We start from the raw sequence: 27,607 nt of genomic DNA on the forward strand, positions 1-27,607 counted from the left end.
GGTGAAACCCTGTCTCTACAACCTGGTCTCTACTACAAATACAAAGGCTGGGCATGGTGGCTCACGCCTGTAATCCCAGCACTTTGGGAGGCTGAGGCAGGCGAATCATGAGGTCAAGAGATTGAGACCATCCTGGCCAACATGGTGAAACCCCGTCTCTGCTAAAAATACAAAAATTAGCTGGGCGTGGTAACATGTGCCTGTAGTCCCAGCTACTCAGGAGGCTGAGGCAGGAAGCTACTAGGGAGGCTGAACCTGGGAGGTGGAGGTTGCAGTGAGCCGAGATCGCACCACTGCACTCCATCCTGGTGACAGAGCGAGACTCCATCTCAAAACAAACAAACAAACTTAGCCAGGCATGGTGGCACACACCTGTAGTCCCAGCTACTCTGGAGGCTGAGGCAGGAGAATCACTGGAACCAAGGAGGTGGAGGTTGCAGTGAGCCAAGATCATGCCACTGCACTCCAGCCTGGGTGACAGAGCAAGACTCTGTCTCAAAAAAAAATAAATAAATAAAAAGAGAGAAAAAAAGAAAACATATCACTTGGAGAAAATGCCATTTAAATCTCGATGTTGGCCAGGCATGGTGACTCATGCCTGTAATCCCAGCACTTTGGGAGGCCACGATGGACAGATCACCTGAGGTCAGGAGTTTGAGATCAGCCTGGTCAACATGGTGAAAACCCGTCTCTACTAAAAATACAAAAATTAGCCGGGCATGAACCCAGGAGGCAGAGGTTGCAGTGAGCTGAGAGTGCATCGCACTCTAGCCTAGGTGACAAGGGTGAAACTCGGTCTCAAAAACAAAACAAAACAAAAAACCCTCAATGTAATTTCTTCCAGTCTTTTTTTCAAAGCCCCAATATGTGTAAGCGTTCTCTGTGTTTCATATTTAATACCTGGCATCACACAACTTGCATGTCTACAGTTTTGCATTCTACTTTCTTCCCTCAACATTATGCCACGGATATTTCCCCTTGTCATAAAAAATTCTCTGGAAGCAGAGAATTATGAAACATAGTTATAATTGGGCTCACAGGTTGGCATCATAGTCCAACCTGTGAGAATGCTATAATTTTACCATTTTCCTCTTTTTCTAATGTGATAGTCATTTTCACTTTTTAAATTATTATTGTACTTTAAGTTCTAGGGTACATGTGCACAACATGCAGGTTTGTTACGTACGTATACATGTGCCATGTTGGTTTGCTGCACCCATCAACTTGTCATTTACATTAGGTATTTCTCCTAATGCTATCACTGCCCCAGCCCCCCACCCCCGACAGGCCCCGGTGTGTGATGTTCCCCTCCCTGTGTTCATGTGCTCTCATTGTTCAATTCCCACCTATGAGTGAGAACATGCAGTGTTTGGTTTTCTGTCCTTGTGATAGTTTGCTGAGAATGATGGTTTCCAGCATCATCCATGTCCCTGCAAAGGACATGAACTCATCTTTTTTATGGCTGCATAGTATTCCATGGTGTATATGTGTCACATTTTCCTAATCCAGTCTATCATTGATGGTCATATGGGTTGGTTTCAAGTCTTTGCTATTGTGAATAGTGCTATAATAAACATATGTGTGCATGTGTCTTTATAGTAGAATGATTTATAATCCTTTGGGTATATACCCAGTAATGGGATCGCTGGGTCAAATGGTATTTCTAGTTCTAGAACCTTGAGGAAGCACCACACTGTCTTCCACAATGGTTGAACTAATATACACTCCCACCAACAGTGTAAAAGCATTCCTATTTCTCCACATCCTCTCCAGCATCTGCTGTTTCCTGACTTTTTAATGATCGTTATTCTAACCAGCGTAAGATGATATCTCATTGTGGTTTTGATTTGCATTTCTCTGATAACCAGTGATGATGAGCATTTTTTCATGTGTCTGTTGGCTGCATAAATGTCTTCTTTTGAGAAGAGTCTGTTCATACCCTTTACCCACTTTTTGATGGGGTTGTTTGTTTTTTTCTTGTAAATTTGTTTAAGTTATTTGTAGATTCTGGATATTAGCCCTTTGTCAGATGGGTAGATTGTAAAAATTTTCTCCCATTCTGTAGATTGCTTGTTCACTCTGATGATAGTTTCTTTTGCTGTGCAGAAGCTCTTTAGTTTAATTAGATCCCATTTGTCAATTTTGGCTTTTGTTGCCATTGCTTTTGGTGTTTTAGTCATGAAGTCTTTGCCCATGCCTATGTCCTGAGTGGTATTGCCTAGGTTTTCTTTTTCTTTTTTCTTTTTTTTTTTGAGACAGAGTTTCACTCTTGTTGCCGTGGAGTGCAATGGCACAATCTCAGCTCATTGCTACCTCCGCCTCCCAGGTTCAAGCGATTCTGCTGCCTCAGCTTCCTGAGTAGCTGGGATTATAGGCACCCGCCACCACACTCAGCTAATTTTTTGTATTTTTTAGTAGAGACGGGGTTTCACTATGTTGGCCAGGCTGTTCTCGAACTCCTGACCTCAGACGATCCACCCACCTCAGCCTCCTAAAGTGCTGGGATTACAGGTGTGAGCCACCATGCCTGGCTTGCCTAGGTTTTCTTCTATGGTTTTTATCGTTTTAGGTCTTACATATAAGTCTTTAATCCATCTTGAGTTAATTTTTGTATAAGGTGTAAGGAAGGGATCCAGCTTCAGCTTTCTACATATGGTTAGCCAGTTTTCATAGCAACATTTATTAAATAGGGAATGCTTTCCCCATTGCTTGTTTTTGTCAGGTTTGTCAAAGATCAGATGGTTGTAGATGTGTGGTGTTATTTCTGAGGCCTCTGTTCTGGTCCATTGGTCTATATCTCTGTTTTGGTACCAGTACCATGCTGTTTTGGTTACTGTAGCCTTGTAGTATAGTTTGAAGTCAGGTAGTGTGATGCCTCCAGCTTTGTTCTTTTGGCCTAGGATTATCTTGGCTATGCAGGCTCCTTTATGGTTCCATATGAACTTTAAAGTAGTTTTTTCCAATTCTGTGAAGAAAGTCATTGGTAGCTTGATGGGGATGGCATTGAATCTATAAATTACCTTGGGCAGTATGGCCATTTTCACGATATTGATTCTTCCTATCTATGAGCATAGAACGTTCTTCCATTTGTTTGTGTCCTCTTTTATTTCCTAGAGCAGTGGTTTGTAGTTCTCCTTGAAGAGGTCCTTCACATCCCTTATAAGTTGTATTCCTAGGTATTTTATTCTCTTTGTAGCAATTGTGTATGGGAGTTCACTCATGATTTGGCTCTCTGTCTGTAATTGGTGTATAGGAATGCTTGTAATTTTTGTACATTGATTTTGTATCCTGAGACTTTGCTGAAGTTGCTTATCAGCTTAAGGAGATTTTGGGCTGAGAAGATGGGGTTTTCTAAATATACAATCATGTCATCTGCAAACAGGGATAATTTGACTTCCTCTTTTCCTAATTGAATACCCTTTATTTCTTTCTCTTGCCTGATTGTCCTAGCCAGAACTTCCAACACTATGTTGAATAGGAGTGGTGAGAGAGGGCATCCTTGTCTTGTGCCGCTTTTCAAAGGGAATGCTTCCACTTTTTGCCCATTCAGTATGATATTGGCTGTGGATTTGTCATAAATAGCTCTTCTTATTTTGAGATACGTTCCATCAATACCTAGTTTATTGAGAGTTTTTAGCATGAATGGCTGTTGAATTTTGCCAAAGGCCTTTTCTGCATCTATTGAGATAATCATGTGGTTTTGTCGTTGGTTCTGTTTATGTGATGGGTTACATTTATTGATTTGCGTATGTTGAACCAGCCTTGCAGCCCAGGGATGAAGCCGACTTGATCATAGTGGATAAGCTTTTTGATGTGCTACTGGATTCGGTTTGCCAGTATTTTATTGAGGATTTTCGTATCGATGTTCATCAGGGATATTGGTCTAAAATTCTCTTTTTTTTTGTTATGTCTCTGCCAGGCTTTGGTATCAGGATGATGATGGCCTCATAAAATGAGTTAGGGAAGATTCCCTTTTTCTATTGATTGGAATAGTTTCAGAAGGAATGGTACCAGCTCCTTTTTGTACCTCTGGTAGAATTTGGCTGTAGAATCCATCTGGTTCTGGACTTTTTTTGGTTGGTAGGCCAATAATTATTGCCTCAATTTCAGAACCTATTATTCAGAGATTCAACTTCTTCCTGGTTTAGTCTTGGGAGGGGGTATGTGTCCAGGAATTTATCCATTTCTTCTAGATTTTCTAGTTTATTTGCGTAGAGGTGTTTATACTATTCTCTGACGGTAGTTTGTATTTCTGTGGGATCGGTGATGATATCCCCTTTATCATTGTTTATTGCATCTATTTGATTCTTCTCTCCTTTCTTCTTTATTAGTCTTGCTAGCGGTCTATCAATTTTGTTGATCTTTTCAAAAAACCAGCTCTTGGATTCATTGATTTTTTTGAAGGGTTTTTTGTGTCTCTATCTCCTTCAGTTCTGCTCTGATCTTAGATATTTCTTGCCTTTTGCTAGCTTTTGAATTTGTTTACTCTTGCTTCTCTAGTTCTTTTAATTGTGATGTTAGGGTGTCGATTTTAGATCTTTCCTGCTTTCTCTTGTGGGCATTTAGTGCTATAAATTTCCCTCTACGCACACTTTAAATGTGTCCCAGAGATTCTGGTACATTGTGTCTTTGTTCTCATTGGTTTCAAAAAGAACATCTCTATTTCTGCCTTCATTTTTTTATTTATCCAGTAGTCATTCAGGAGCAGGTTGTTCAGTTTCCATGTAGCTGTGCAATTTTGAGTGAGTTTCTTATTCCTGAGTTCTAATTTGATTGCACTGTGGTCTGAGAGACAGTTTGTTATGATTTCTGTTCTTTTACATTTGCTGAGGAGTGCTTTACTTCCAATTATGTGATCAATTTTAGAATAAGTGTGATGTGGTGCTGAGAAGAATGTATATTCTGTTGATTTGGGCTGGAGAGTTCTGTAGATGTCTATTAGGTCTGCTTGGTGCAGAGCTGAGTTTAGGTCCCAGATATCCTTGTTAACCTTCTAGCTCATTGATCTGTCTAAAGTTGACAGTGGGGTGTTAAAAGTCTCCCATTATTAGTGTGTGGGAGTCTAAGTCTCTTTGTAGGTCTCTAAGGACTTGCTTTATGAATCTGGGTGCTCCTGTATTGGGTGCATATATATTTAAGACAGTTAGCTCTTCTTGTTGAATTGATCCCTTTACCATTATGTAATGGCCTTCTTTGTCTCTTTTGATCTTTGTTGGTTTAAAGTCTGTTTTCTCAGAGACAAGGATTGCAACCCCTGCTTTTTTTTCGCTTTGCATTTGCTTGGTAGATCTTCCTCCATCCCCTTATTTTGAGCCTACCTGTGTCTCTGCACATGAGATGGGTCTCCTGAATACAGCACACTGATGGGCCATGATTCTTTATCCAATTTGCCAGTCTGTGTCCTTTAATGGGGGCATTTAGTCCATTTACATTTAAGGTTAATATTGTTATGTGTGAATTTGATCCTGTCATTATGACGTTAGCTGGTTATTTTGCCCACTAATTGATGCAGTTTCTACATGGCATTGATGGTCTTTACAATTTGGCAAGTTTTTGCAGTGACTGGTATCGGCTGTTTGTTTCCAAGTTTATGCTTCCTTCAGGAGCTCTTGTAAGACAGGCCTCGTGGTGACAAAATCTCTCAGCATTTGCTTGTCTGTAAAGGATTTTATTTCTCCTTCACTTATGAAGCTGAGTTTGGCTGGATATGAAATTCTGGGTTGAAAATTCTTTCCTTTAAGAATGTTTAATATTGGCCCCCACTCTCTTCTGGCTTGTAGGGTTTCTCCCGAGAGATCTGCTGTTAGTCTGATGGGCTTCCCTTTGTGGGTAACTCGACCTTTCTCTCTGTCTGCCCTTAACACTTTTTCCTTCATTTCAACCTTGGTGAATCTGACAATTAAGTGTCTTGGGTTGCTCTTTTTGAGAAGTATCTTTGTGGTATTCTCTGTATTTCCTGAATTTGAATGTTGGCCTGCCTTGCTGGGTTGGAGAAGTTCTCCTGGATAATATCCTGAAGAGTGTTTTCTAACTTGGTTCCCCATTCTCTCCATCACTTTCAGGTACATCAATCAACACAGATTTTATCTTTTCACATAGTCCCATATTTCTTGGCGGCTTTGTTCATTTCTTGTTACTCTTTTTTCTCTAATCTTGTCTTTTCACTTTATTTCATTAATTTGATCTTCAATCATTGATATCCTTTCTTCCACTTGATCGAATTGGCTATTGAAGCTTGTGTATGCATCACAAAGTTCTCGTGCCACGGTTTTCAGCTCCATCAGGTCCCTTATGGCCTTCTCTACACTGTTTATTCTAGTTAGCCATTCGTCTAACCTTTTTTCAAGGTTTTTAGCTTCCTAGCAATGGGTTCAAACATCCTCCTTTAGCTTGGAGAAGTTTGTTATTACCGACCTTCTGAAGCCTATTTCTGTCAAATCGTCAAAGTCATTCTCCGTCCAGTTTTGTTCCGTTGCTGGCGAGGAGCTGCAATCCTTTGGAGGAGAAGAGGCACTCTGGTTTTCGGAATTTTCAGCTTTTCTGCTCTGGTTTCTCCCCATCTTTGTGATTTTATCTACCTTTGGTCTTTGATGTTGGTGACCTACAGATGGGGTTTTGGTGTGGATGTCCTTTTTGTTGATGTTCATGTTATTCCTTTCTGTTTGTTAGTTTTCCTTCTAACAGTCAGGCCCCTCAGCTGCAGGTCTGTTGGAGTTTGCTGGAGGTCCACTCCAGACCCCGTTTGCCAGGGTATCACCAGCAGAGGCTGCAGAACAGCAAATATCACAGAATAGCAAATATTGCTGCCTAATCCTTCCTCTGGAAGCTTTGTCCCAGAGGGGCACCCACCATATGAGGTGTCTGTTGGATGCAACTGGGAGGTGTCTCCCAGTCAGGCTACGTGGGGGTCAGGGATCCACTTAAGGAGGCAGTCTGTCCGTTCTCAGAGCTTGAATGCTGTGCTGGGAGAACCACGGCTTTCTTCAGAGCTGTCAGACAGGGACGTTTAAGTCTGCAGAAGTTGTCTGCTGCCTTTTGTTCAGCTATGCCCTGCCCACAGAGGTGGAGTCCATAGAGGCAGTAGGGCTTGTTGCACTGCAGTGGGCTGCATCCAGTTCGAGCTTCCCAGCTACTTTGTTTACGTACTCAAGCCTCAGCAATGGCCGATGCCCCGCCCCACCCCCCACCTGGCCGCATCCTCGCAGGTCGATCTCAGACTGCTGCTGCACTAGCAGGGAGCAAGGCTCCATGGGCATGGGACCCACTGAGCCAGGCACAGGAGGGAATCTCCTGGTCTGACAGTTGCTAAGACCTTGGGAGAAGTGCAGTATTTGGGCAGGAGTGAACTGTTTTTCCAGGTACAGTCTGTCATGGCTTCCCTTGGCTAGGAAAGGGATATCCCCCGACATCTTGAGCTTCCTGGTGAGGCGACACCCCACCCTGCTTCAGCTTGCCCTCGGTGGGCTGCACCCACTGTCCAACCAGTCCCAACAAGATGAACCAGGAACCTCAGTTGGATATGCAGAAATCACCTGTCTTTCTGCGTCGATCTCACTGAGAGCTGCAGATAGGAGCTGTTCCTATTCGGCCATCTTGGAAGCCAGACCCCATTTTCACTTTTTATTATCCATTTGTTTGCCTAATTTGTTTTCACTTTCTGGGTTTGATTAGTGAAATGCTATCTTGTTTATCAGCACTTTGTTAGAGAGCCATGACATTACACTTATGACCAATAGAAGTCTGGTCTAGTTTCCGAATCAGCGAGGTTCATGACAAGCGTGGCATCCATGACATGCATGTTGAGAGTGGAAATCCTGGATCATCAAGAAATTACAAAACACAGAGCAGGGAAGCCACGGTATTTGGAGCTGTCAAGTAATTACTTCTGTTCTTTCTCTACACCCTGTCCGTAATCATTCAGCCCTTGCTTCTGCTTGGTTTCATGTTGCATCCCTCTTTCTTTCTTTTTTTTTTTTTAATTAGCTCCCAAGCAGTGGGATTTGATGGAAATGTGAACCATTTTTCCTCTTTTCTGGCTCCAGGTTCTACCTCTTCCTGCAGGAAGTCCACACAAGCTGGGATGAGGGGGAGGCAAGACAAAAGAGCAGGGCAAGTTTGACACAATTAACACCTCGATCATGCCTCCAAATGCAGAGGGTCTTTCAGGGAAGGAGAATCAAAATGTACGGGAGAAAAATGACAGGAGACGACAGGCACGGTGGCTCACGCCTGTAATCCCAGCACTTTGGGAGGCCGAGGTGGGCAGATCACGAGGTCAGGAGATCGAGACCATCCTGGTTAACATGGTAAAATCCCATCTCTACTAAAATACAAAAAAAAATTGCCGGGCATGGTAGCGGGCACCTGTAGTCCCAGCTACTCCAGAGGCTGGAGAATGGCGTGAACCCAGGAGGTGGAGGTTGCAGTGAGCCGAGATCACGCCACTGCACCCCAGCCCGGGCGACAGAGTGAGACTCCATCTCAAAAAAAAAAAAAAAAAAAAGAAAGAAAAAGAAAAAGAAAAGAAAAATGACAGGAGACAAAAGGAAAAGTCAGCCAAATCTAAATGCAGTATTAGAGGCTAGAAATTCCTATTGTCAACAACAGATTCTGACAACTTCATCTCCTCTAACTTAAGAAAATCATTGAAAAGCCTTCCTATATGTTTAGTTGCAAAGCAAAATCCAGATGCACGTCTTAAGTACCTATAGAAATTATGAGAAAGTATGCAGCAGGCTCAGATTCTAGCCCTGAGAAATAATCTGGTGTTTGGGAAAGAAAAGCAGAAGTAAAGTGCCTGATTGTCCGGCAACATAATACTCTGTACATTTGATAATACTGAGTCACCCCAACCCCAGACTATCCTGTGATTTCATTTTAATATAGAGAGCAAATACAACACAGTTAAAATGAAAAAATCAACTGGGATAACTTGCAGAAAATATAATTAAGTTAAAAATTATACCCTGAATATAGAGAGAACTGAAACAAATCAATAGGAAATACGCCGCAATAGAAAATGGTCTGGTGGTAATATGTACACACACAACATACACATGACCAAAGCGCACGCAAAAGTCCTCACCTTATAACCCAATAAATGCAAGTAGAAACAGCTCATTCTAATTTTTACCCAGCAAGTTTTCTGGGGTAGGAATGTTATGAATTTGTCTAAGAATACCATGAATTATCATCAGGGATGGGAACTGACTGCAATTGTTTACAGTTGGTTGCAAAAAGCAATTCGGCAGGCCACATATGGGGATCTATCCTAAAAAAATGACCAGATATGGATGGGGACTTATGGTGTTTAAAATGAAGGAAAATTACAAACAACCTATATTTCCAATAAGGGATATGGTTAGGCTGGGCGCGGTGGCTCACACCTGTAATCCCAGCACTTTGGGAGGCGGAGACGCAGGTGCATTGCTTAAGCCCAGGGGTCCAAGACCAGCCTGGGCAACTTGGCAAAACCCTGTCTCTGCAAACAAAACAAAACAAAATTAACCAGGTGTGGTGGCACACGTGTAGTCCCAGCTACTTGGGAGACTGAAGTGGGAGGCTTGCTGGAGCCCAGGAGGCAGAGGTTGCAGTGAGCCGAGATCATGTCGCTGTATTCCAGCCTAAGTGACAGAGCAACACTCTGCCTCAAAAAAAGGGGGGATATGGTTAAATAAATTATGGTACAACTCCCAAAATATTTCACAGCTATTATACAAGATGCACTTGAAAATATCTTAATGTAAAAATGTTTATGATATTTGAGGCAAAAAGAATGATAAAAGTTAGTATTTCTTGGGTGCTTTCCACATCCCAGGACTGTTTTATTCTCTTTACATGTGTTTTCTCATTCATTTCTTAAAAGAACCTCATGAAATAGGTACTATTATTAATATTACTATTATTAATATCCTCACTTTATATATGATGAAGTGGAAACAAGATGGTTATCTTACCCAGGGTTACAATCTAAGAAGTTCCATTCCAGGCTTGATGCTGTTAAAAATTTTACCATGTTACCTGATGGCTATCTGTCTGTCTGCCTGTGTGTCTGTCTATCTACCTATTTATCTTTATCAGTTAGGGTCCCAATAGGAAACAGCACACTCAAGTGAAAATAACCGAAGAAGAGTTTCTCAAAAGGATTCTTTATAATAGATGTGGCCAGGAGGTAAGGAAGCAATAAGAGGCCATGCAGTACTCATGGCCCAAAGAGGAGACAAAAATCAAATCAGGAAGAAGAAAGTCTTCTGAAGGGTCCTCTTGTCTAATTATTATCTGTCCGTCCATCACCCATCCACACATCGATCTTTCAATCCATCTAGCCTTGCAGCCTCTGTATGACAGGATGAGGCAAAAAGACAGCAGATAACATGCCATAAAGTGAATTGTGAGATACATACCCTAGGGGACTTGTGTCTTCAGGCATTTAGCTGAAATGTGGTTATAGAATGCTACAGAAGCCCTTAACACTAATCCCCCACAACGAGGTAGAGAGGAGAGGACACATAAGGGGCTTTCCAGCTTTAAGACCACCCTCTTCCCTGGTGTGGGAGGGGTGTGGGCCCCCTCAGGCCTGAGTCACTCAAAGAGAGGCCTCAGACTCCTGGTGGGCAGTGAGGGCAGGGCTCTGGCAGGAGAGTGGAAGAGATGGGTGCAGCTGTGGGTTCAGCCGGCTCATCCACCCTCTGTGCAGGCTGAGAATGGCTGCGACCTCTCCATGAAAGAGCTGGCATGTGGGAGAGCCCAGACTCTGCCTTGCGAGGCCCCCTGGACAGGCGGTCAGCCACAGCAGCCCTGGGAGACAGCCTGCCGGGCAGGCAGCACGTGACCACTGAAAAGGGTGTTTCACCAAGCCTGGGGATGCACACTGGGACAGTCCCAAGGGGGCCCTGAACACCACCACCGGGAGACAGGGTCCGCCTGCCCCCAGAGCCTGCAGCCATGAAATAAGAACTATACAGCCACTTACCTCCTTCTCTCCCTCCCAGAGGGGTCAGGCCACACCTGGTGAGCTGTGGGAGGAGGCAGAGGGAGGGAAGAAGCCCAGGCCTAGTTCTCTGTGGCAAGATACCAAGCTGGAGGGGATGGGGAAACAGCTCTACTTTAAATCAAGTTCAGAGTTTTGATATTATCTGGGACTGGATACTCTAAGCATCAGACTGATGACAATGTTGGGTATTTACAGTGACAACAAGACTTGGTGTCATCCAAGAGTTTCCAGCAAGGTCATGCTGATTGCTCAAATGCTCACTCAGGAGCTGAGGAAGAACCAGCCACTGGACACCTTCAGACACAGAACAGGAAGATGAAGTCGCCATGTGGTTACTTCTCCAGCTCCTGCCGGTCCCATATGTGTGCATGAGTGAGTGTGCATGTCTGCAAATGAACTACACACACGGGCCTATATCTCTGGACAGGGAAGTGATAGCCGGCATTCATTTTCTTCTTTTTACACATTCTCCTCTAATTTCCACATTTCCTACAAAGGGGATGTAGTCCGTTTATAATCAGAAAAACATCAGCAAATGTTATTTCAAAAGAGGAAGTCAGCCTTCCGGAAATTCCCTAATCCATGTAAAATATCACTTGTACCAGGAATGAGTCTTACCCATCACATGCCCAGTACCGCCACAAAGAGCAAGAAACATTCCAACATCTGCACAGGAACTTGGTGAGAAACCGACTCTATTCCCAGGGGAGGAGGGAGGAAGTGAGAATTGCGGATTTTGTTGTTTCTCTTGTAAACATACGTTGGGATCATATCCTTTTCCCTTCCCCTCCCTTCTCCATTTAGTCACAAATTCAGCAGCACAGAGACCTTTCCCAATACCAGCTCAACTGATGTGGCCCGTTTTTCAGGCAAATTTCCAATGAGAGCTGAAAGTTAGTACCTTGGCACCTTGAGGAATTCTAAAGGAATCCGAGAGTATTGAGATAAAAAATGCCTCCTAGCTGCATGTAGTCACACACTGGAGTCTCTTTAACTTTTTTTTCTAATGCTTTGCAGTAGAATTACCATGAAGGTGAAACAGCCTTATAAAAAGATCTTTAAAAGTTCGTGGAAAAGAGTTTTTGCTATGTTAGAAAAGGAGGTAGGCATCCCATGGAGCTAAAACATGTCAAGCCAAAGTCACCCACTTCCCTCTGATAAGGGTGGTAGATGGCTGGATGGGAAAAGGCTGCAGGGCCAGGATACCCAGCACTCAGCTCAGCCTTGGATGATGTTTGCCAATATTTGGAGTGATGAAATGGCAAAATATGACCTGGATGATAGCAGCTGGGGGAATTCCCAGCTACTGGGAAAAGCTTAGAGTCACCTAGCAAGATGACTTGATAAAAGACACACTTTTCAAACATAGCCACTTCAGCAGGTTGGGAAGACTGGATGAACCACCTGTGATTCAAGAATATGGTGAGAAATAGAACTGCAGGTCAAAACTGAATAGGTGGCCGGGCACACTGGCTTACCCCTATAATCCCAGCACTTAGGGAGGCGGGCAGATCACGAGGTCGGGAGATCGAGACCATCCTGGCCAACATAGTGAAACCCAGTCTCTACTAAAATAAAATACAAAAAATTAGCTGGGCGTGGTGGTGCACGCCTGTAGTCCCAGATACTTGGGAGACTGAGGCACGGGAATCGCTTGAACTCGGGAGGCGGAGGTTGCAGTGAGCCAAGATCGTGCCACTGCACTTCAGCCTGGCGACAGGGCAAGACTCTGTCTCAAAAAAGCAAAAAACAAAAACAAACAAACAAAAAAACACAAAAAACTGAGGTAAAATACAATAGGAATAAGAGAATAACTACTCTTGGGTTCAAATAGTTAATTACATGATGATAACAGTATGATAACAACAACATTTTGTATTTATATAGAGTATTAATATTTTACACTTTACAAGACTGTTTTGGGAGGCTTACCTTAATTTCAACTCTTTAGAAAAAAATACTTAAGGTTGTTTCTGTTGACTACAAGCTTAAACTGAACAGATACAGAAAAATAAAAGCCAACAGTAGCCAAAAAAAGGTAAGCGCTCTTGACCTTTGAGCACATCTGAGGGACTGCGTTGCACCCTTGGGGCCACCTTTAAGGGAAACGTCAATAATTGAAGTCATAACGAAACAGGTGGGCAGGGAGGCAAAGGGAAGACAGGGAGAGGTGAACAGTTGTTTCAAATATGTGAGCAGCCTCCATATTAGAAGATTCTGTGATTATCAAAAGTGTAGAACTTCCACAAATGAACAGAAGTTTCAAAGACGAAGACTGTGTTTGGAAGAACGGATCTAATCATTTCAATGTTTTGTAAGTAAAATTGAAATCCACACGATTGCTGTGGGGAGGGTAATGGTTTGGCCACATCCCTTGATGTCACTCAGCCATGCACCCCCTGACACTGCAAGTTCACTCCTGGACATACAGATGCAAGAGGCAGGAGGCTCATTTGAACCTGGGAGGTGGAGGTTGCAGTGAGCCAAGATCACGCCATTGCTGTAGCCTGGGCAACAAGAGGGAAATTCTATCTCGGAAAAAAAAAAAAAAAAAGATCTTAACCTCCAGAGATCTTTTAAGAGCCAATGAGTTCTCTCAGCGCAACCAAATTGTGAGAAACATCAGTTGTCTGACATCACAAAGTGGCTCTCAGCTTGTGTGGTGCCAAAGCGGCTCTCAGAGCTTGGCACTTCTATGCAGGGAATACCATGCCAGCAAACCTGGCTCCCTGAGGAGTGCTTGGAGCTGCCATAATTACATTCCCTTAGGTGCTACCCATTCCTCATCCTTCCTGGCCCCTCACTATGAAGTGTGGACAAAGGGAAGTGGCTAACAGGATGGCTCTTCAATTAGCTGAAGGATGTTGACCAGCTGGTGGGAAGGAAGCCAAAGATACCCACTGAAAATCCATTAGACTCAAATACATTGCAACATTTCCTCCAATAACTTGCTTCCCTTTTTTGCACTCAGTGAATAGAGCGTTCTTAATCTTCAACAACTTACCTTCCCAAAGGTGGCCGGGTTGACTTGGTTCTCAGTGTTTTGCCCACAGGTCTCCACGTAAATCTCATACATGAGACAGCGAGGGACGCTGCACTCTTCGCAAATGCAGAAGTTGTCGACCAACCTGGAGGAGAGGAGGACAAGGAGGAGGAAATTGGCATTTGTTTTTCTAGAGCAAAATATTTTGACAAAATCAATGGTCAAGATGTGTATGAGGTTCCAATAAATGAAACATGTCTAATTTATTGGATGAATCCCTGCGAAGGCTCACAACTGGCATCACTATGTACCCGTTTGTCCTTAGGCCAGTGTTAAGTATATTGACTGTGGCTTTTAGAAGATCAGAAGCCCATAACGTGTTTCTGTTTTTGTTTGTTTCCTGGCAGGTTGGCATGCTAAAAAGAAGTTCAAATTAGGACTTCAGCAGACGCTGTTTCATAGACCTTTACAAAGGTTACAGCCAAGAGCTACATAACTACAAAGTGGAGAATTATTTATTCCACTTTATGAATAAGACACAAAACAATACCCAGGTAAGTCCTATCACCCCTGCAGGTGACCGCAGGGGCCAGCCTGGCTTCCCAGGGCCCGTTTTCACATCCTTCCCTCTCTGATCCCTGTTCCTCTGAAGCAGTTGCTTGCATGGTTCTTAAACCCCTGTGGTTTAGGGCAGGCCATTATGTTTGGATTCTTTGAATTGCAATGAGGTGTAAAATGCAAGACATCAAGAGACACCAAGAGAGGCAGAGTGCTTTTGCTCTGCTTTCTTCCCTATTGGTACAGAGCCAGAGCAGCACAGAGCGAATGCAGCAGTGCCTGTGAACGCACCTGCAGTGCCTGTGACCTCTGCTCAAAGTGGGACCTTCAACTACCCAAATGCTCCTGGTCTGGAGGCAGAGTGTATTCCTTACCAATGAGAGGCTCTGGCTGAGGTTCACAGACCAGCCCCGGCCCCTGGGGACAGCCAGGCGCCTATTCCAGCAGCAGTATGTGAGCGTGGAGGTGAGTGGTGAAGGTGGCCTGGGTCAGAAAGTGTCCGTAGTGACATCCAGCCACTACCTTCCTTTCCCGGTGGGACAGACCATCGTTCTTTAAAAAAAATATACAAAGCAAGCCAGTATAATTTTTAAACAAAGAGGAATATTTATTTAGCAGAGACTTTACAGACAATACGTCTCCTTGGCATTTGTTTTTCTAGAGAAAAATATGGGTATTTTGCTCTAGATGGGTATATGGGTAGTATACAGCTTATCTTCTGGAATGAGGCACACTGAGGCCCAAACTTACTTTCCTTGGGAACTAAAGGACATAGTCACAATTGTTAACCCCACCGGCTTCCCAGAAAAAAAGACACATGGACATAAGGAATAGGGGAATCTCTGGCCCTGCAATGCTTCCTTGGGGTAACAAATTACCACAGGCCCAGTGGCCTCAAACAACAGAAATGTATTCTCACAGTTCTGGAAGCTGGAAGCTTAAAAATCCAAGTGCCAGCAAGGTCGGTTCCTTCCAGAGGCTCTGAGGGAGACCCTGCTCGATACTTTTCTCCTTGTTTCTGGTGATTGCTGGAAATCCTCGGTGTTCCTCAGTGTTCCTCGGCTTCACTCCAGTCCCTGCCTGTGTCTTACACAGCCTTCTCCCTGTGTGTCCGTATCTCTGAGAATTTTATTGTTTTTCTTTTTTGCATTTTTTTAGTAGAGACGGGGTTTTGCCATGTTGGCCAGGCTGGTCTTGAACTCCTGGGCTCGAGCGCTCCACCCACCTCAGCCTCCCAAAGTGCTGGGATTACAGGCATGAGTCACCGTGCATGGCTAGTATCTCTGTGAATTTTCTTATCAACATACCAGTGACTGGATTTAGAGCCCATCCTAATTCAGGATGACTTCAATTTAACTAATTACATCTACAAAGATCCTATTTCCAAATAAGGTTACATTCTGAGGTTCCGGGTGGACATGAGTTTTTTTTGGGGGGATGCTATTCAACCCAGTACAGGCATCAAGGAAGTAGATTTTTCTGGGATGCTTCCCAAAATCATTGTGGGAGCCTGACACTTCAGATACTTCACAATGGCTTAAATGCAGCTGCTACTGCATCAATTATTTGGCTCAAGGCTGAGTACAGGGTGATACCTATCGATGGGATGGTGGCATGGGGGAGTGGCAGATTCATATATATAGCCAGCATATATATATATGTAAGTATATATATATAAGTATATATATACGTATATATATATAGGTATATATATATACGTATATATATGTATATATATATACGTATATATATGTATATATATATAAGTGTATATATATAAGTATATATATATAAGTGTATATATATATAAGTATATATATATAAGTATATATATATATATACACACACACACACACATATACATGGAGAGAGAGAGAGAGACTCCCTCTGGAATGCAGTGGTGCAATCATAGCTCATTGCATCCTCAAACTCCTGGGCTCAAGGGATCCTCCTGCCTTAGCCTCCTGAATAGCTGCGACTACAGGCGTGTGACCATGTCCAGATACTTAAAAAAAAATTTTTGTAGAGACGGTCTCACTATGTTGCCCAAGCTAGTGCTGACCTCCTGTTGTCGAGCAATCCTCCCACCTTGGCCTTCCAAAGTGCTGGGATTACAGGCACAAACCACTGCACCTGGCTTATATTTCTTTTGTTAAGACACTACTTGTTGATATATGAAAAACTCACTATTGGAAGTTATCACAGAAAAATGTTGGCTAAATCCGGGAAACTGTGGCAAAATGTGATGTGCATTCAATTCAAACTCACTTCTGTTTATTCATAGTTACTCCAGATTTAGTTAGGGAATTATCTCCTTAAAAAAGAAGTGTAAAAAATACAAACTCCTTAAAATGAACTCTAGTTTTCCATGTTTGCTGATTGTTCTTTCCTGTGACAGACGCTCATTTGTTCTAAGTCTCTATGAATTGCTGTCCTCCCAATTTCAAAATGATACTACCGAGCCTGCCTGTTACCTAAGTGGAATAGGAAGGCCAAATAATACTCTTAATAAGAATAATAGTAAAGGTCTGTGGCCAAGAGTCCTTTCTATGCCACACATGGAAAGAAAGGGCTGCCTTCGGATGTGAGCCCTGTGTGGCTGCCTTGATCCTGGCAGTTCCAAGAGATTCATTCTGTTTCTGACCATGTGTCTGTGGTCATTTGCCCAATATTCTAAGCCAAATCGCAGAGACTGACCAGTGGCAGCCAGTCAGCATACAGTAACTGGACAAGCAGAAGGTTTGAAAGTGGACTTTGTCACCCAGTAGTTGCCTCAGCCTTCAGTGTCACCCAGTAGTTGCCTCAGCCTTCAGTGTCCACACACATACCCCGGGCTTTGAACCTCAAAGACCTAAGTTTCCATTCTGACTCTGAGACACCTGAGAGTTTTTGTGATCAGAAAACAAGCACATGACCTGCCTACTACCGTGGCTTGCACACAGAAGCTCTTATTATTATCATTTTTATGTCTACCATCAAAATCTGGAATGGAAGCAAGAAAGATGCTGATGTTGGCAGAGTGGCTACACAGAGCACCTGCTGTAGGTGAGCCTGACTTCCAACCACCTGGGGCTCCAAGGAGAGACCGATTGGGGACTGGCAGAACTGCCGGCAGGTGACATTGGTTAAGGGTTTTATACTCTGCCACCAAAATGTCCTTTGGTGATACACCTGGAAATAAAGCCTGTCTACATTTGAAGTGAATCAGATCACTAGATTCCTTGCTTAGCTTCGTAATAACACTATTTTCCTGGTCTTGCCATCAGACAAGGTGGATTATTAAGATCTTGAGACCGTTCATGATGTTCTCCTCGCTTTGAGTGATGAACAATCTGATGATTACTGACCTCAGAGCACAAATACTTAGCCAGTGCTTCACACGTTTTCTGAGTACTCTTTTTTTTTTTTTTTTTTTTTTTTTTTTGAGATGGAGTCTCACTCTGTCACCCAGGCTGGAGTGCAGTGGCGCGATCTCGGCTTAATGCAAGCTCCGCCTCCCAGGTTCATGTCATTCTCCTACCTCAGCCTCCCAAGTAGCTGGGACTACAGGCGCCTGCCACCTCGCCCGGCTAATTTTTTGTATATTTAGTAGAGATGGGGTTTCACCGTGTTAGCCAGGATGGTCTTGATCTCCTGACCTCGTGATCCACCTGCCTTGGCCTCCCAAAGTGCTGGGATTACAGGCGTGAGCCACCGCGCCCGGCCTCTGAGTACTCTTTAAAGAAAAATGTCATGAGCAACTGGGCGCGGTGGCTCATGCCTGTAATCCCAGCACTTTGGGAGGCTGAGATGGGCAGATCACCTGAGGTCAGGAGTTCAAGGCCAGCGTGGCTAACATGGCGAAACCCCGTCTCTACGAAAAATACAAAAATTAGCTGGGCGCAGTGGTGCGTGCCTGTAATCCCAGCTACTCAGGAGGCTGAGGTAGGAGAATCACTTGAACCTGGGAGGCAGAGGTTGCAGTGAGCCGAGATTGTGCCACTGCACTCCAGGCTGGGAGACAAAGCGAGACTCCATCTCAGAACAAACAAACAAACAAAAAAACAAAGAAAAATGTCATGAGCCCCCCACACTAGGAACTATAGTACCTTTTCGATACGGCTGATCAAAAGCTACCATGAATTCTGCACCTTTCCAAATAAATTTGTATTTTTAAAATTTCAACAGAGTCTGCAGAAATTTGTAAAAGTCTATGTGGGAGATAGTTATGTAGTCTACAACCAGGGCTCAGCATGCATTGGGATTAGATAATGCTTAGGTTTTGCCTGGTCTGAAACCAGGGGTCAGACCTGCTAGGTCTGCATCCCAGCAAGGAAGTCAGATCACTGTTCTTCATTCCTTTGTGCTCCCCAGAGCTTTAACCCCACCTCTCCCCGTTTCTGCAGTCTTTCCTGTCCATGAAACAGAAACCTTCTATTACCTCTGGCCCCTGAGACTTGGCCAAGCTCTCTTGGGGCCTTTCTCCTGGGAGAATTTATCCAATATGGATGACAGTGGCACTGATGTCTCTAAGACATGTTGGGGTCCTAACAAGCGACTGATTAGAAGACAAAACAATGAAGTAATGTGGAAAATGGCAGGTTTCCTCCACAGGGCAACAGTTGGGCCCCTCCCTGGTCTTTCACTCAGACACTGGCTAATGGAGATGTCTCCAGGCGTTCAGACCCCTCGCCCTGCACTACCCACCACTGCTCCTCCAGCATTGGTAACACCTTCCAGGCTTTGGAATACCAGAGGCTGTTCTTGATGTTGACGTTAAAACCACTAGTACCAACGATCTGTTTTGGGTTTTTTATTTTGTTTTGAGAGGGAGTTTCACTCTTGTCGCCCACGCTGAAGCAGAGTGGCGCAATCTTGGTTCACTACAACCTCCACCTCCCAGGTTCAAGCGATTCTTCTGCCTCAGCCTTCAGAGTAGCTGGGATTTACAGGCGCCCGCCACCACACCCAGCTAATTTTTGTATTTTTAGTAGAGATGGGGTTTCACCATGTTAGCCAGGCTGGTCTCAAACTCCTGAGCTCAAGTGATCCACCTGCCTCGGCCTCCCAAAGTGCTGGGATTACAGGCCTGAGCCACCGCACCCGGCCTCAACGATCTGTTAAACATACCACCTCATCAACTGGATGATTTCTAAAGAAAAGTCCTCCCCAATGAAAAGGTGACCCCTCCCTTATTTCCATTGCCTCCACCCCCCAACCTTGAAGAGTGGCCTATAGGGATAGGAACTTGTAATATGGGACTTGAGTAAGTCAGACTGTCTGCTAAAATGGTCTACACCAGGGGTGTCCAATCTTTTCTTCCCTGGGCTACACTGTAAGAAGAATTGTCTTGGGTCACATATAAAATACACTAACACTAATGATAGCTGATGAGCCAAAACAAACAAAAAAAATCTCATAATGTTTTAACAAAGTTTATGAAGGCCCAGCGTGGTGGCTCACACCTGTAATCCCAGCACTTTGGGAGGCCGAGGGAAGTGGATCACTTGAGGTCAGGACTTCCAGACCAGCCTGGCTAACATGGTGAAACCTTGTCTCTAATAAAAATACAAAAATTAGCAAGGCATGGTGGTGCAGGCTTGTAATCCCAGCTACTACGGAAGGATAAGGCAGGAGAATCACTTGAACTCAGGAGGCGGAGGTCACAGTGAACCAAGATCGTGCCACTGCACTCCAGACTGGGCAACAGAGCAAGACTCTGTCACAAAAAAAAAAGAGAGAAAAGAAAGAAAGGAAAAGAAAGTTTACAAATCTGTGTTGGGCCTCATGCAGCCCTTAGGCCAAGGGTTGGACAAGCTTGGTCTAGACCATCATAAGCCCCCTGGTTACCATTTGAAGTGAGTTCACAAGCGGTCTTAGGAGGATGTTCAGGTATTTTTTAATCAGTCTCATCATTCTTTCAAGTCTCTGGAGCATAATTTAAACCCTGGAAACTCTAATTTACTAAATGGCGAACTGAAGTCATTGAAAGGCATCCTGAGTCCTTTCTTCTAAGAACGATGCATGAGGGGCCTGGGTCGGTGAGTGTAGCAGAAACCTAGCCCGGCTGTGTAACACTGAAAAACGCTGTGTACTTCAGTATTTATTCATTTGATTTTTTTTCCTCTCATTGAAGATAAGACATGTCAAAAATGTTCTTTTGGAGGAAAGTGGTAACTGTTTAGGCCTGCCAGGGTTATAATCACAAACACGCCCTTCATTTTTGTTTCACTCACATGACTTTTTCAAAAGTCTTCCCTGAGAAATATGCTTTGAAACTTAAAAAGAGAAAAATGTACTCTGTTATATAACAGTTATTCACCTTGTAAAACTAAAGGTCCTAGAACTGGTTTCAATTATTTTTCTATTTAAGAAGATCTGCAACCCCATGAGTTTCTCAGTCCCAAGGGCTGAGGATATTTTTCTTTCCCTTTTTTCCTGCTTCGACTTAAATAGCTGGAAGTGAATTTCACAATGCGGAATGCATTGCTAAAGCTAAAAACTCCTAAGCTTTAAATTAGGAAACATCCCATCCTGGATCTAGGGAGAGAAAGCTTTTCCTCCCCTGGCAAGGCCCAGGAGCTTTTGGATGTACATGGAAGCAGGGTCCAACCAACGGGTCCCCGCGGGGCAGACCGGATGGCTTTCCGCGGGAAGGGTGACAACGGGGAAGTCACAGATGGGAAGCCCGGCCCCATCGCCGATTCGGGCCCGGGGCTTTTACGCGTGTGCGTGCATGGCAGGTCCCTCCGCGCTGCGGCGGGCGAGCATCAGAAAGCGCTGGGCCTGGGGCCGCTCCTCACACCCGGCTTTGACCCGGCGTCCCGAGGGCAGCCGTAGCGGGAACCACGCTTCCCCTCCCCGGCCCCACCTCCTCCATCCCAGCGTCCCAGGCGCCTGGCGGCTCACCACTGGATGACGCCGCTGTGCGGGCCCCGGCTACCCTCGCCGCTCGACGGCGAGGCCGGCACCCCCTCGGCCATGGCTCGGCCCCGGGCCTGCAGCACCGAGGCAGGCAGCGAGCGGCGGCCGTGGGCGGCGCTGGGTTGCACCGGTCCTGCTACCGCCGCTCCTCGGTGTTTACTTTAGAAAGGAGCGCGCGGGGGGCGCGCGGGGCGCGGGGCGGGAGCCCAGTCCTCCAGGCCCGAGCCCGGGGGCGCGGAAGGCGCGCGGCGAGTACGGGAGGCCACAGCTCCCCAACCCCCGCGCCCCGCCGAGGATGCGCGGACCCCGCCCTGCATCCTGCGGTGTGGGCTGGAGCTGCCTCCCGCTCTCACCCAGCGCCCTTCCCACCGGCGTAGCAACCAGTCAAACAGGGACGCGAACAACAAGCACCAACTTACACCTTTTCCAATCTGGTCGCGGTGTTGAGTCCGTGGGTGTCCTTGACTTGCTTGAGCGTTGGAGTTATTCAGGCAGTTTTCAAAAATATTGATACCCCGGCTGCCGCTCCCCATCCCAGCCCCGCCCCACCCCACCCCAAGAGGTTCTGATGAATTGGTCTGGGCGAGGGCCGCCTGGGCCAACCGGCTTTTTCAGGGTCCCGGGTGATGCTAATGTGCCCGCCGTTGCTGAAAACCACTGTCTCTAGGAGTTTTGAAAAATCTCGGAGCTCTCTGGCAGGCGGGCGCATCTGGACTTCTAGGAGGCTGGTCCCAGGTGACTCCAGTGTGCTGCTCCAGGTGAGCAGTGCCACCTCAACGTGAGTCCCCATATCTGTAGCCAGGTCCTGCCAGTCCTTGCTCTCAAGAGCCATTTATGTCAGTGTCATTGCTGTGTGACATGGAGCTGCTGGCCATCTCCAAGTTCACTTCCTTTGTGGGGAACTGTGTGGGTTGTTGTGAGTATTAAGCGACATTCACTTGCAAGGCTGTGTTGTAGTCAGAGCTCAGTCATGCAGCCGTTACTGTGGCTGCTAACCGCTTCAGAGTCTCCGGGTAAGGATTTCTCAATCTAGATCAAAAACACATTTGCCGACTTGACAGCAACAAAAACCAAACCGCCCAGTTTAAAAATGGGCAAAGGACTTGAATAGACATTTATCCAAAGAAGATACATAAATGCCTACTAAGCACATGAAAAGATGCTCGACATCATTAATCATTAGGAAACGCAAATAAAAACCATACCCAAGAGGATGGCTATTATTTAAAACACAGAAACTAACGAGTGTTGGTGAGGATGTAGAGAAATTGGAACTCTTGTTCACTGAGGGTAGGACATTTAAAGTGGTGCAGCTGGCCGGGGGCGGCGGCCCACGCCTGTAATCCCAGCACTTTGGGAGGCCGAGACGGGCAGATAACCTGAGGTCTGGAGTTCGAGACCAGCCTGGCCAACATGGTGAAACCCCCGTCTCTACTAAAAATACAAAAATTAGCCGGACGTGGCGGCAGGCGCCTGTAATCCCAGCTACTCGGGAGGCTGAGGCACAAGAATCGCTTGAACCTGGGAGGTGGAGGTTGCAGTGAGCCAAGATCGTGCCACTGCACTCCAGCCTGGGTGACAGGGTGAGACTCTGTCTCAAAAAATATGTATAATATTAAAGTGGTGCAGCTGCTATGGAAAACAGTACGGCCTCAAAAATTAAACATAGAATTACCTTATGATCCAGCAGTCCCAATTCTGAGTGTATACCCAAAAAGAATTGAAAGCAGGAACAAAAACAAATATGTACAGCAATGTTCATAGCAGCATTATTCACAATAGCCAGAAGGTAGAAGTAACCCAAGTGTCTATGGACAGATGAATGGATAAACAAAATGTGGTACATATACATACACTAGAACATTATTTACCCTTAAAAAGGAATGAAATTCTGATACATGCTACAACACAGATACACTGAAAACATTAGCACACAGAAAAGCATGATTCCACTTACATGAGGTCCCTAGAGAAGTCAAATTCATAGCGACAGAAAGTAGAATGGGGGTTGCCAGGGGCTGGGGGTTGGGGGATTAGTGTTTTAATAGGGACTGAGTTTCAGTTGGGGAAGATGAAAAGTTCTGGAAATAGATGCTGATGGTTGCAAAACAATACCAATGTACTTAATACCACACCACTGAATTGTGTGCTTATAAATTGTTAAAATGGTAAATTTTGTGTTATATATATATTACCACAGTTTTAAAAAAAGTCTGCCCCCAAAACATATGCACACACACACACACACGTTTGAGAACCACTTCTGGAAGCAGGAAAGACATCGATTCAACAAAGGAAACAACTGCCGACTGCCTCCCACGTGCCAGCCCTGGAAGGTAGTTGCTGGGGCCCACCAGAGATCTCCATGGCCAGCATCCTCCCTTCCACAGGGACACCATCACCAGGGTGAAGCTCCAAGGTCAGTTCCAGAGAGATAGCAGGACATTCAGAACCTGGACCCTGAAGTTCAACCAGGTCACTGGAGCTGACCCGGGATGGCATCTGACTCTCCTTTGGGGCACTGCCCCATGAATCAGCCTGGTCCTGAAGCCTGGGGCATTTGGAGTGTAGGGGTAGGATAGGCAAGGGAGTGGGAATGACGTAATCAATAAGTGAATGGGGCCACTGTTAGTCCTATTTATCTTCTCAGCTGAGTTTCCTTGCTCAGGGCCGGCTGCTTTAAAACGCCACCCAGTAGAGGACAGTTCACTCCACATCATCCTCTCTCAACCTCACCTCATGTATTAAGAGCATCCATATCAGGATGGGAGGCCAAGTATATGAGTAACAAACAGAGTCAGGAGACTGCTGAATGGCAACCACGATGAAGAACCCACAGGAAAAAAGAAGATGAAGCAATGAGGTGAGGCGATATGGCAGAGCTCTCCAAGGCCTCACTCTGCAGGTCAGCCTGTCTCTAGGAGAGGTAACACATCCCTTTGGACTCGGAGGGGGAGCCCCGTGAGGTTCCTTCATCTGATTTGCTTTGCCCTGAGTGCTAAGTCCTGTACTCTTGCAGTGGGACAGGCAGGTCCTTGTCAATGGCTGGGGGAAACATGGTTCCTTCCCCTTCTCATACTGGTCCTACAGCAGCTCCTTCCACCCAGGAAACTTCCCAAGATGCCTGCTTATGTCCACAGAGACTGGAAATAACCAAGGGAAGAGTCTGCTGTTATTTAGGGCCTTATTATGTCACTGCTGGTGCCATAATATTTGCACATTTACTGAGCGTCAACCAGTACCAGGCACTGGAACAGACCTTGGAAATACGATGGGGACACCATGACCATCTGGTTGACCAGTGGTCTCTTTGCTAGCTATTGCATTGAATGTTAGATGCTATGAAAAGCAAACATCTTCTTATCTTGGCTCAGAGCTCTTGAGGCTTGTTGATTAGAAGACTTTAGAAATGAGGCCATGTGATCAATTTTACACCCTCCACCCAGAGGGCCTATTAATTTCATCTATTACAGGTGACAGCTGGTGTCCCTAGTTTGACCAGCCATCTTATAGATCAGACTCTGAGTAGTTTTGTGCTAACACAGCGACACTCTCCGAAGATTTATTCCCAGTGTATGCCTTTCTAATGTGCTAAATATGCAAAGGACATTTACCTCTGCACACAACTCCATTACTAGCAGCATAATTAAGGCTTTCAGTTGAGTTGACCACATAGCCACATAATTTGCTCAGTAGAAATTAGGTATAAAATCCATTTTCTTTTCAAAGAATGTTTAACTGGAAGTGACATCACAAAAAACTTCATTCTGTGGCGTTCACTGAGAAGACTGCTAGACCCATGCATGTGCTGTCTTGTACCTGAAAATCTAGTCTCTCTCTAACTCCAGGTTGAGTATCTTTGCTCTAATATCTAAACCGTGACAAGGAAAATAAATTCTAAGGTTTATATCAAGTAGAATTCCAGTTTCTTATGTCACATTTTATGTACACAAAGCTGGAGAACCACATCTCTTCTATCTAAACAGTAACTTATTTTACCTACTTCCATCTAATTGGTTTCTAGCTTATCTAATTAGTCTCATTTCACCTTCTAAAAGGGCACCAGCTGTGTCTTCTCCTTGCACAAAACCATTTCTGATCTAGGGTGCTTAATTTCATTCAGTTCTTGCAATTATTCACTTTCTGTGGATGTACCCAGGTGTCTTCAGGCAATAGATGTATTTTTAAATAAAGCTAATGAGCATAGTGGATTTGGTCCAGAATGCACAATGTAGCTGCATCTGCACAGACAGAGCATTACAGAGAACAGACAACTGCATGTTCCATTTAGCCTGGAAGAGACTCCTTAAGATCCCTGGGCTCTAAACCAGCAAGCTATGGAGACTTTCAAACTATACTAGAGCAAAACAGTCTCATTGGAGAGATTCCAAATCACTATCATATGTTGCAATTTTCCTTGGTCTACACTCACCTTTTGAATATCTGGCTTTTACCCCAGTTGAAATCAATGGGAACATTGCATTCAGGAGAATGTATGTAATGAGAAAACCTAACTCCAAATATAAAACACTTCTCTGCCATTTCTTTATCTAAAATCCATGATTCAGAGGACCATGACGATATCCCATTGCTATAGATGTTTTTTCCCCAATGCGGTGTTCCTGTTTCCCTTTTTGCAGAGAGGTGCTGGCCACATAAGGTATAACAAATAGCAATATCTGCAGAGGAACTCTGAGAATGTGTGGAATGAAAAGAAACAGCCTTCATTACAAGTCACAGAGTGCTTGTAAATTGTAATTTGCAAAGTAATGCATTTGAATTCTTTTGTTACATTAAAAGTGGGACTTTTCTGGAAGTCTCATAGAAAACCAAGCAAAAACAAAATGAAAAGTGGTTTCCTTTTCTGCAGATGATTAGTAGGAATTTAATAAGTCATCTTATTAAAGCCATCATGGAAGCAAGGCAGACACTTTTCCAAATCATAATTATGAGCAAAATCATACATCTTACCCCAATTTATTAAATAATTTTCCAAAAGAATGAGAAAAGGCACACTAAGTCAATTACTTTGGATTTGTGTAAATACTATTTTAAAGCTTTTTACAAGCATGAAATAATTATTTTTGAAAAGCAGTTTTAAACGATAGCATTAGCTGATTTTGGGTGTGATAAACCTTCATCTGTCCTCATGGTTCATATTATTCTTTGGTAGAAATGTACTGGAACAGCTGCCTGCTCCCTGCTGTTCTGCATGGAATTATTTCCTGGTACTATCCCCACCGTGAAACGAATTTCACTACAGCATCTCCAGACAAAGTACGTGTTTGACACATCTTTCTAAAGGACAGCAGACTGCCTTTCAATTGGTCATATGACGCTCCTTCTGCTAATTACCCATTGGAATTCCCCAGCAGAGAGAAGCAGGAAAGATGCTTTACAAAGAGCATCTGCCTGTGAGCTTTGCTGGAGAACAAAGGTAAACACATCCCAATAGATGTGTAAAGATTGTTAAAGCTCACTTTATGAAACAAAGCCTGGCTTTAAAAACCACTAATCTTAAGACCCCGCAAAGCCAGTCTAAGATGCAAATAGTTGTCAAGATGGTCTTTTGCAAATATTATTTTCACGTTATCGCTGTGCCGGAACCGTAAACACTTACCCAGTGCCTCTCAGCGCATCTGTGTGGAGGTGAACTGAGAGGCAGGGACCTCTCCCACCTGCCTCTGCTTGTTCCTCAACCAGCCCACTCCATTTAATAATGTCTTAGAACCTTGCACAGGAAGCAGGCAAGGCGAGAGATGCTGAAGAGAGAGGCCACAGGCACCCGAGTCGGAAGAGCTGGAGGGCGCAGACCCATGAGAATTTCCTGCCTCTCATGTGGTCCAGGAGCTCCTCTGTGTCCTCCGACAAATTACCTTTTCCCTTGAGCCATTTAGAGCAGGTTTCTTTTTCTTATCACAAGTTCATGAGGGTTTTTTTGTTTGTGTTTTGTTTTTTTGGGATGGAGTCTCATTCTGTCACTCAGGCTGGAGTGCAGTGGCACAATCTTCGCTCACTGCAACCTCTCCTTCCTGGGTTCGAGCAATTTTCCTGCCTCAGCCTCCCAAGTAGCTGGGATTACAGGCGCCTGACACCCTGCCTGGCTAATTTTGCATTTTTAGTAGAGACACGGTTTCACCCTGTTGGCCAGGCTGGTCTCGAACTCCGGA

At 44.6% G+C, this 27,607-nt stretch overlaps 1 protein-coding gene across 12 annotated transcripts in view, besides 3 other annotated features; it reads right to left on the minus strand.

The window, feature by feature from the left end:
* RFX8 (regulatory factor X8) overlaps positions 1 to 22,333 on the minus strand; it is a 77,754-nt gene extending 55,421 nt beyond the window's left edge. For 5 of the 12 annotated variants that reach the window (XM_017004852.2, XM_017004851.2, XM_017004854.1 and 2 more), the window contains exons 1-2: positions 21,423 to 21,499; positions 13,998 to 14,121 (exon numbers count right to left, since the gene is read on the minus strand). In XM_017004852.2, coding sequence (XP_016860341.1) covers positions 13,998 to 14,121; positions 21,423 to 21,496 — 198 coding nt within the window. In that variant the 5' untranslated portion in view covers positions 21,497 to 21,499. Of the gene's footprint in view, positions 1 to 13,997; positions 14,122 to 21,422; positions 21,500 to 21,856 lie in introns of those variants that run through there. The other 7 variants (NM_001145664.2, NM_001367510.1, NM_001367508.1 and 4 more) reach the window with 4 other exon arrangements.
* Positions 6,510 to 7,103: an enhancer, noted in NCBI's record as "H3K27ac-H3K4me1 hESC enhancer chr2:102075751-102076344 (GRCh37/hg19 assembly coordinates)". NCBI's record gives its function as "activates a minimal SCP1, AML or CMV promoter by ChIP-STARR-seq in naive H9 embryonic stem cells {active_cell/tissue: H9 hESC(naive)}" and the evidence as "EXISTENCE:reporter gene assay evidence [ECO:0000049][PMID:30033119]".
* Positions 11,107 to 12,306: an enhancer, noted in NCBI's record as "BRD4-independent group 4 enhancer chr2:102080348-102081547 (GRCh37/hg19 assembly coordinates)". NCBI's record gives its function as "activates an origin of replication core promoter dependent on BRD2, P300/CBP, MED14 and CDK7 cofactors, and independent of BRD4, by STARR-seq in HCT116 cells {active_cell/tissue: HCT116}" and the evidence as "EXISTENCE:reporter gene assay evidence [ECO:0000049][PMID:35650434]".
* Positions 14,417 to 15,004: an enhancer, noted in NCBI's record as "NANOG hESC enhancer chr2:102083658-102084245 (GRCh37/hg19 assembly coordinates)". NCBI's record gives its function as "activates a minimal SCP1, AML or CMV promoter by ChIP-STARR-seq in naive and primed H9 embryonic stem cells {active_cell/tissue: H9 hESC(naive and primed)}" and the evidence as "EXISTENCE:reporter gene assay evidence [ECO:0000049][PMID:30033119]".
* Positions 22,334 to 27,607: the final 5,274 nt, after the last annotated feature.

This window comes from Homo sapiens, chromosome 2 (genome assembly GCF_000001405.40).
Source record: "Homo sapiens chromosome 2, GRCh38.p14 Primary Assembly".
In the NCBI taxonomy this organism is placed as follows: domain Eukaryota; kingdom Metazoa; phylum Chordata; class Mammalia; order Primates; family Hominidae; genus Homo; species Homo sapiens.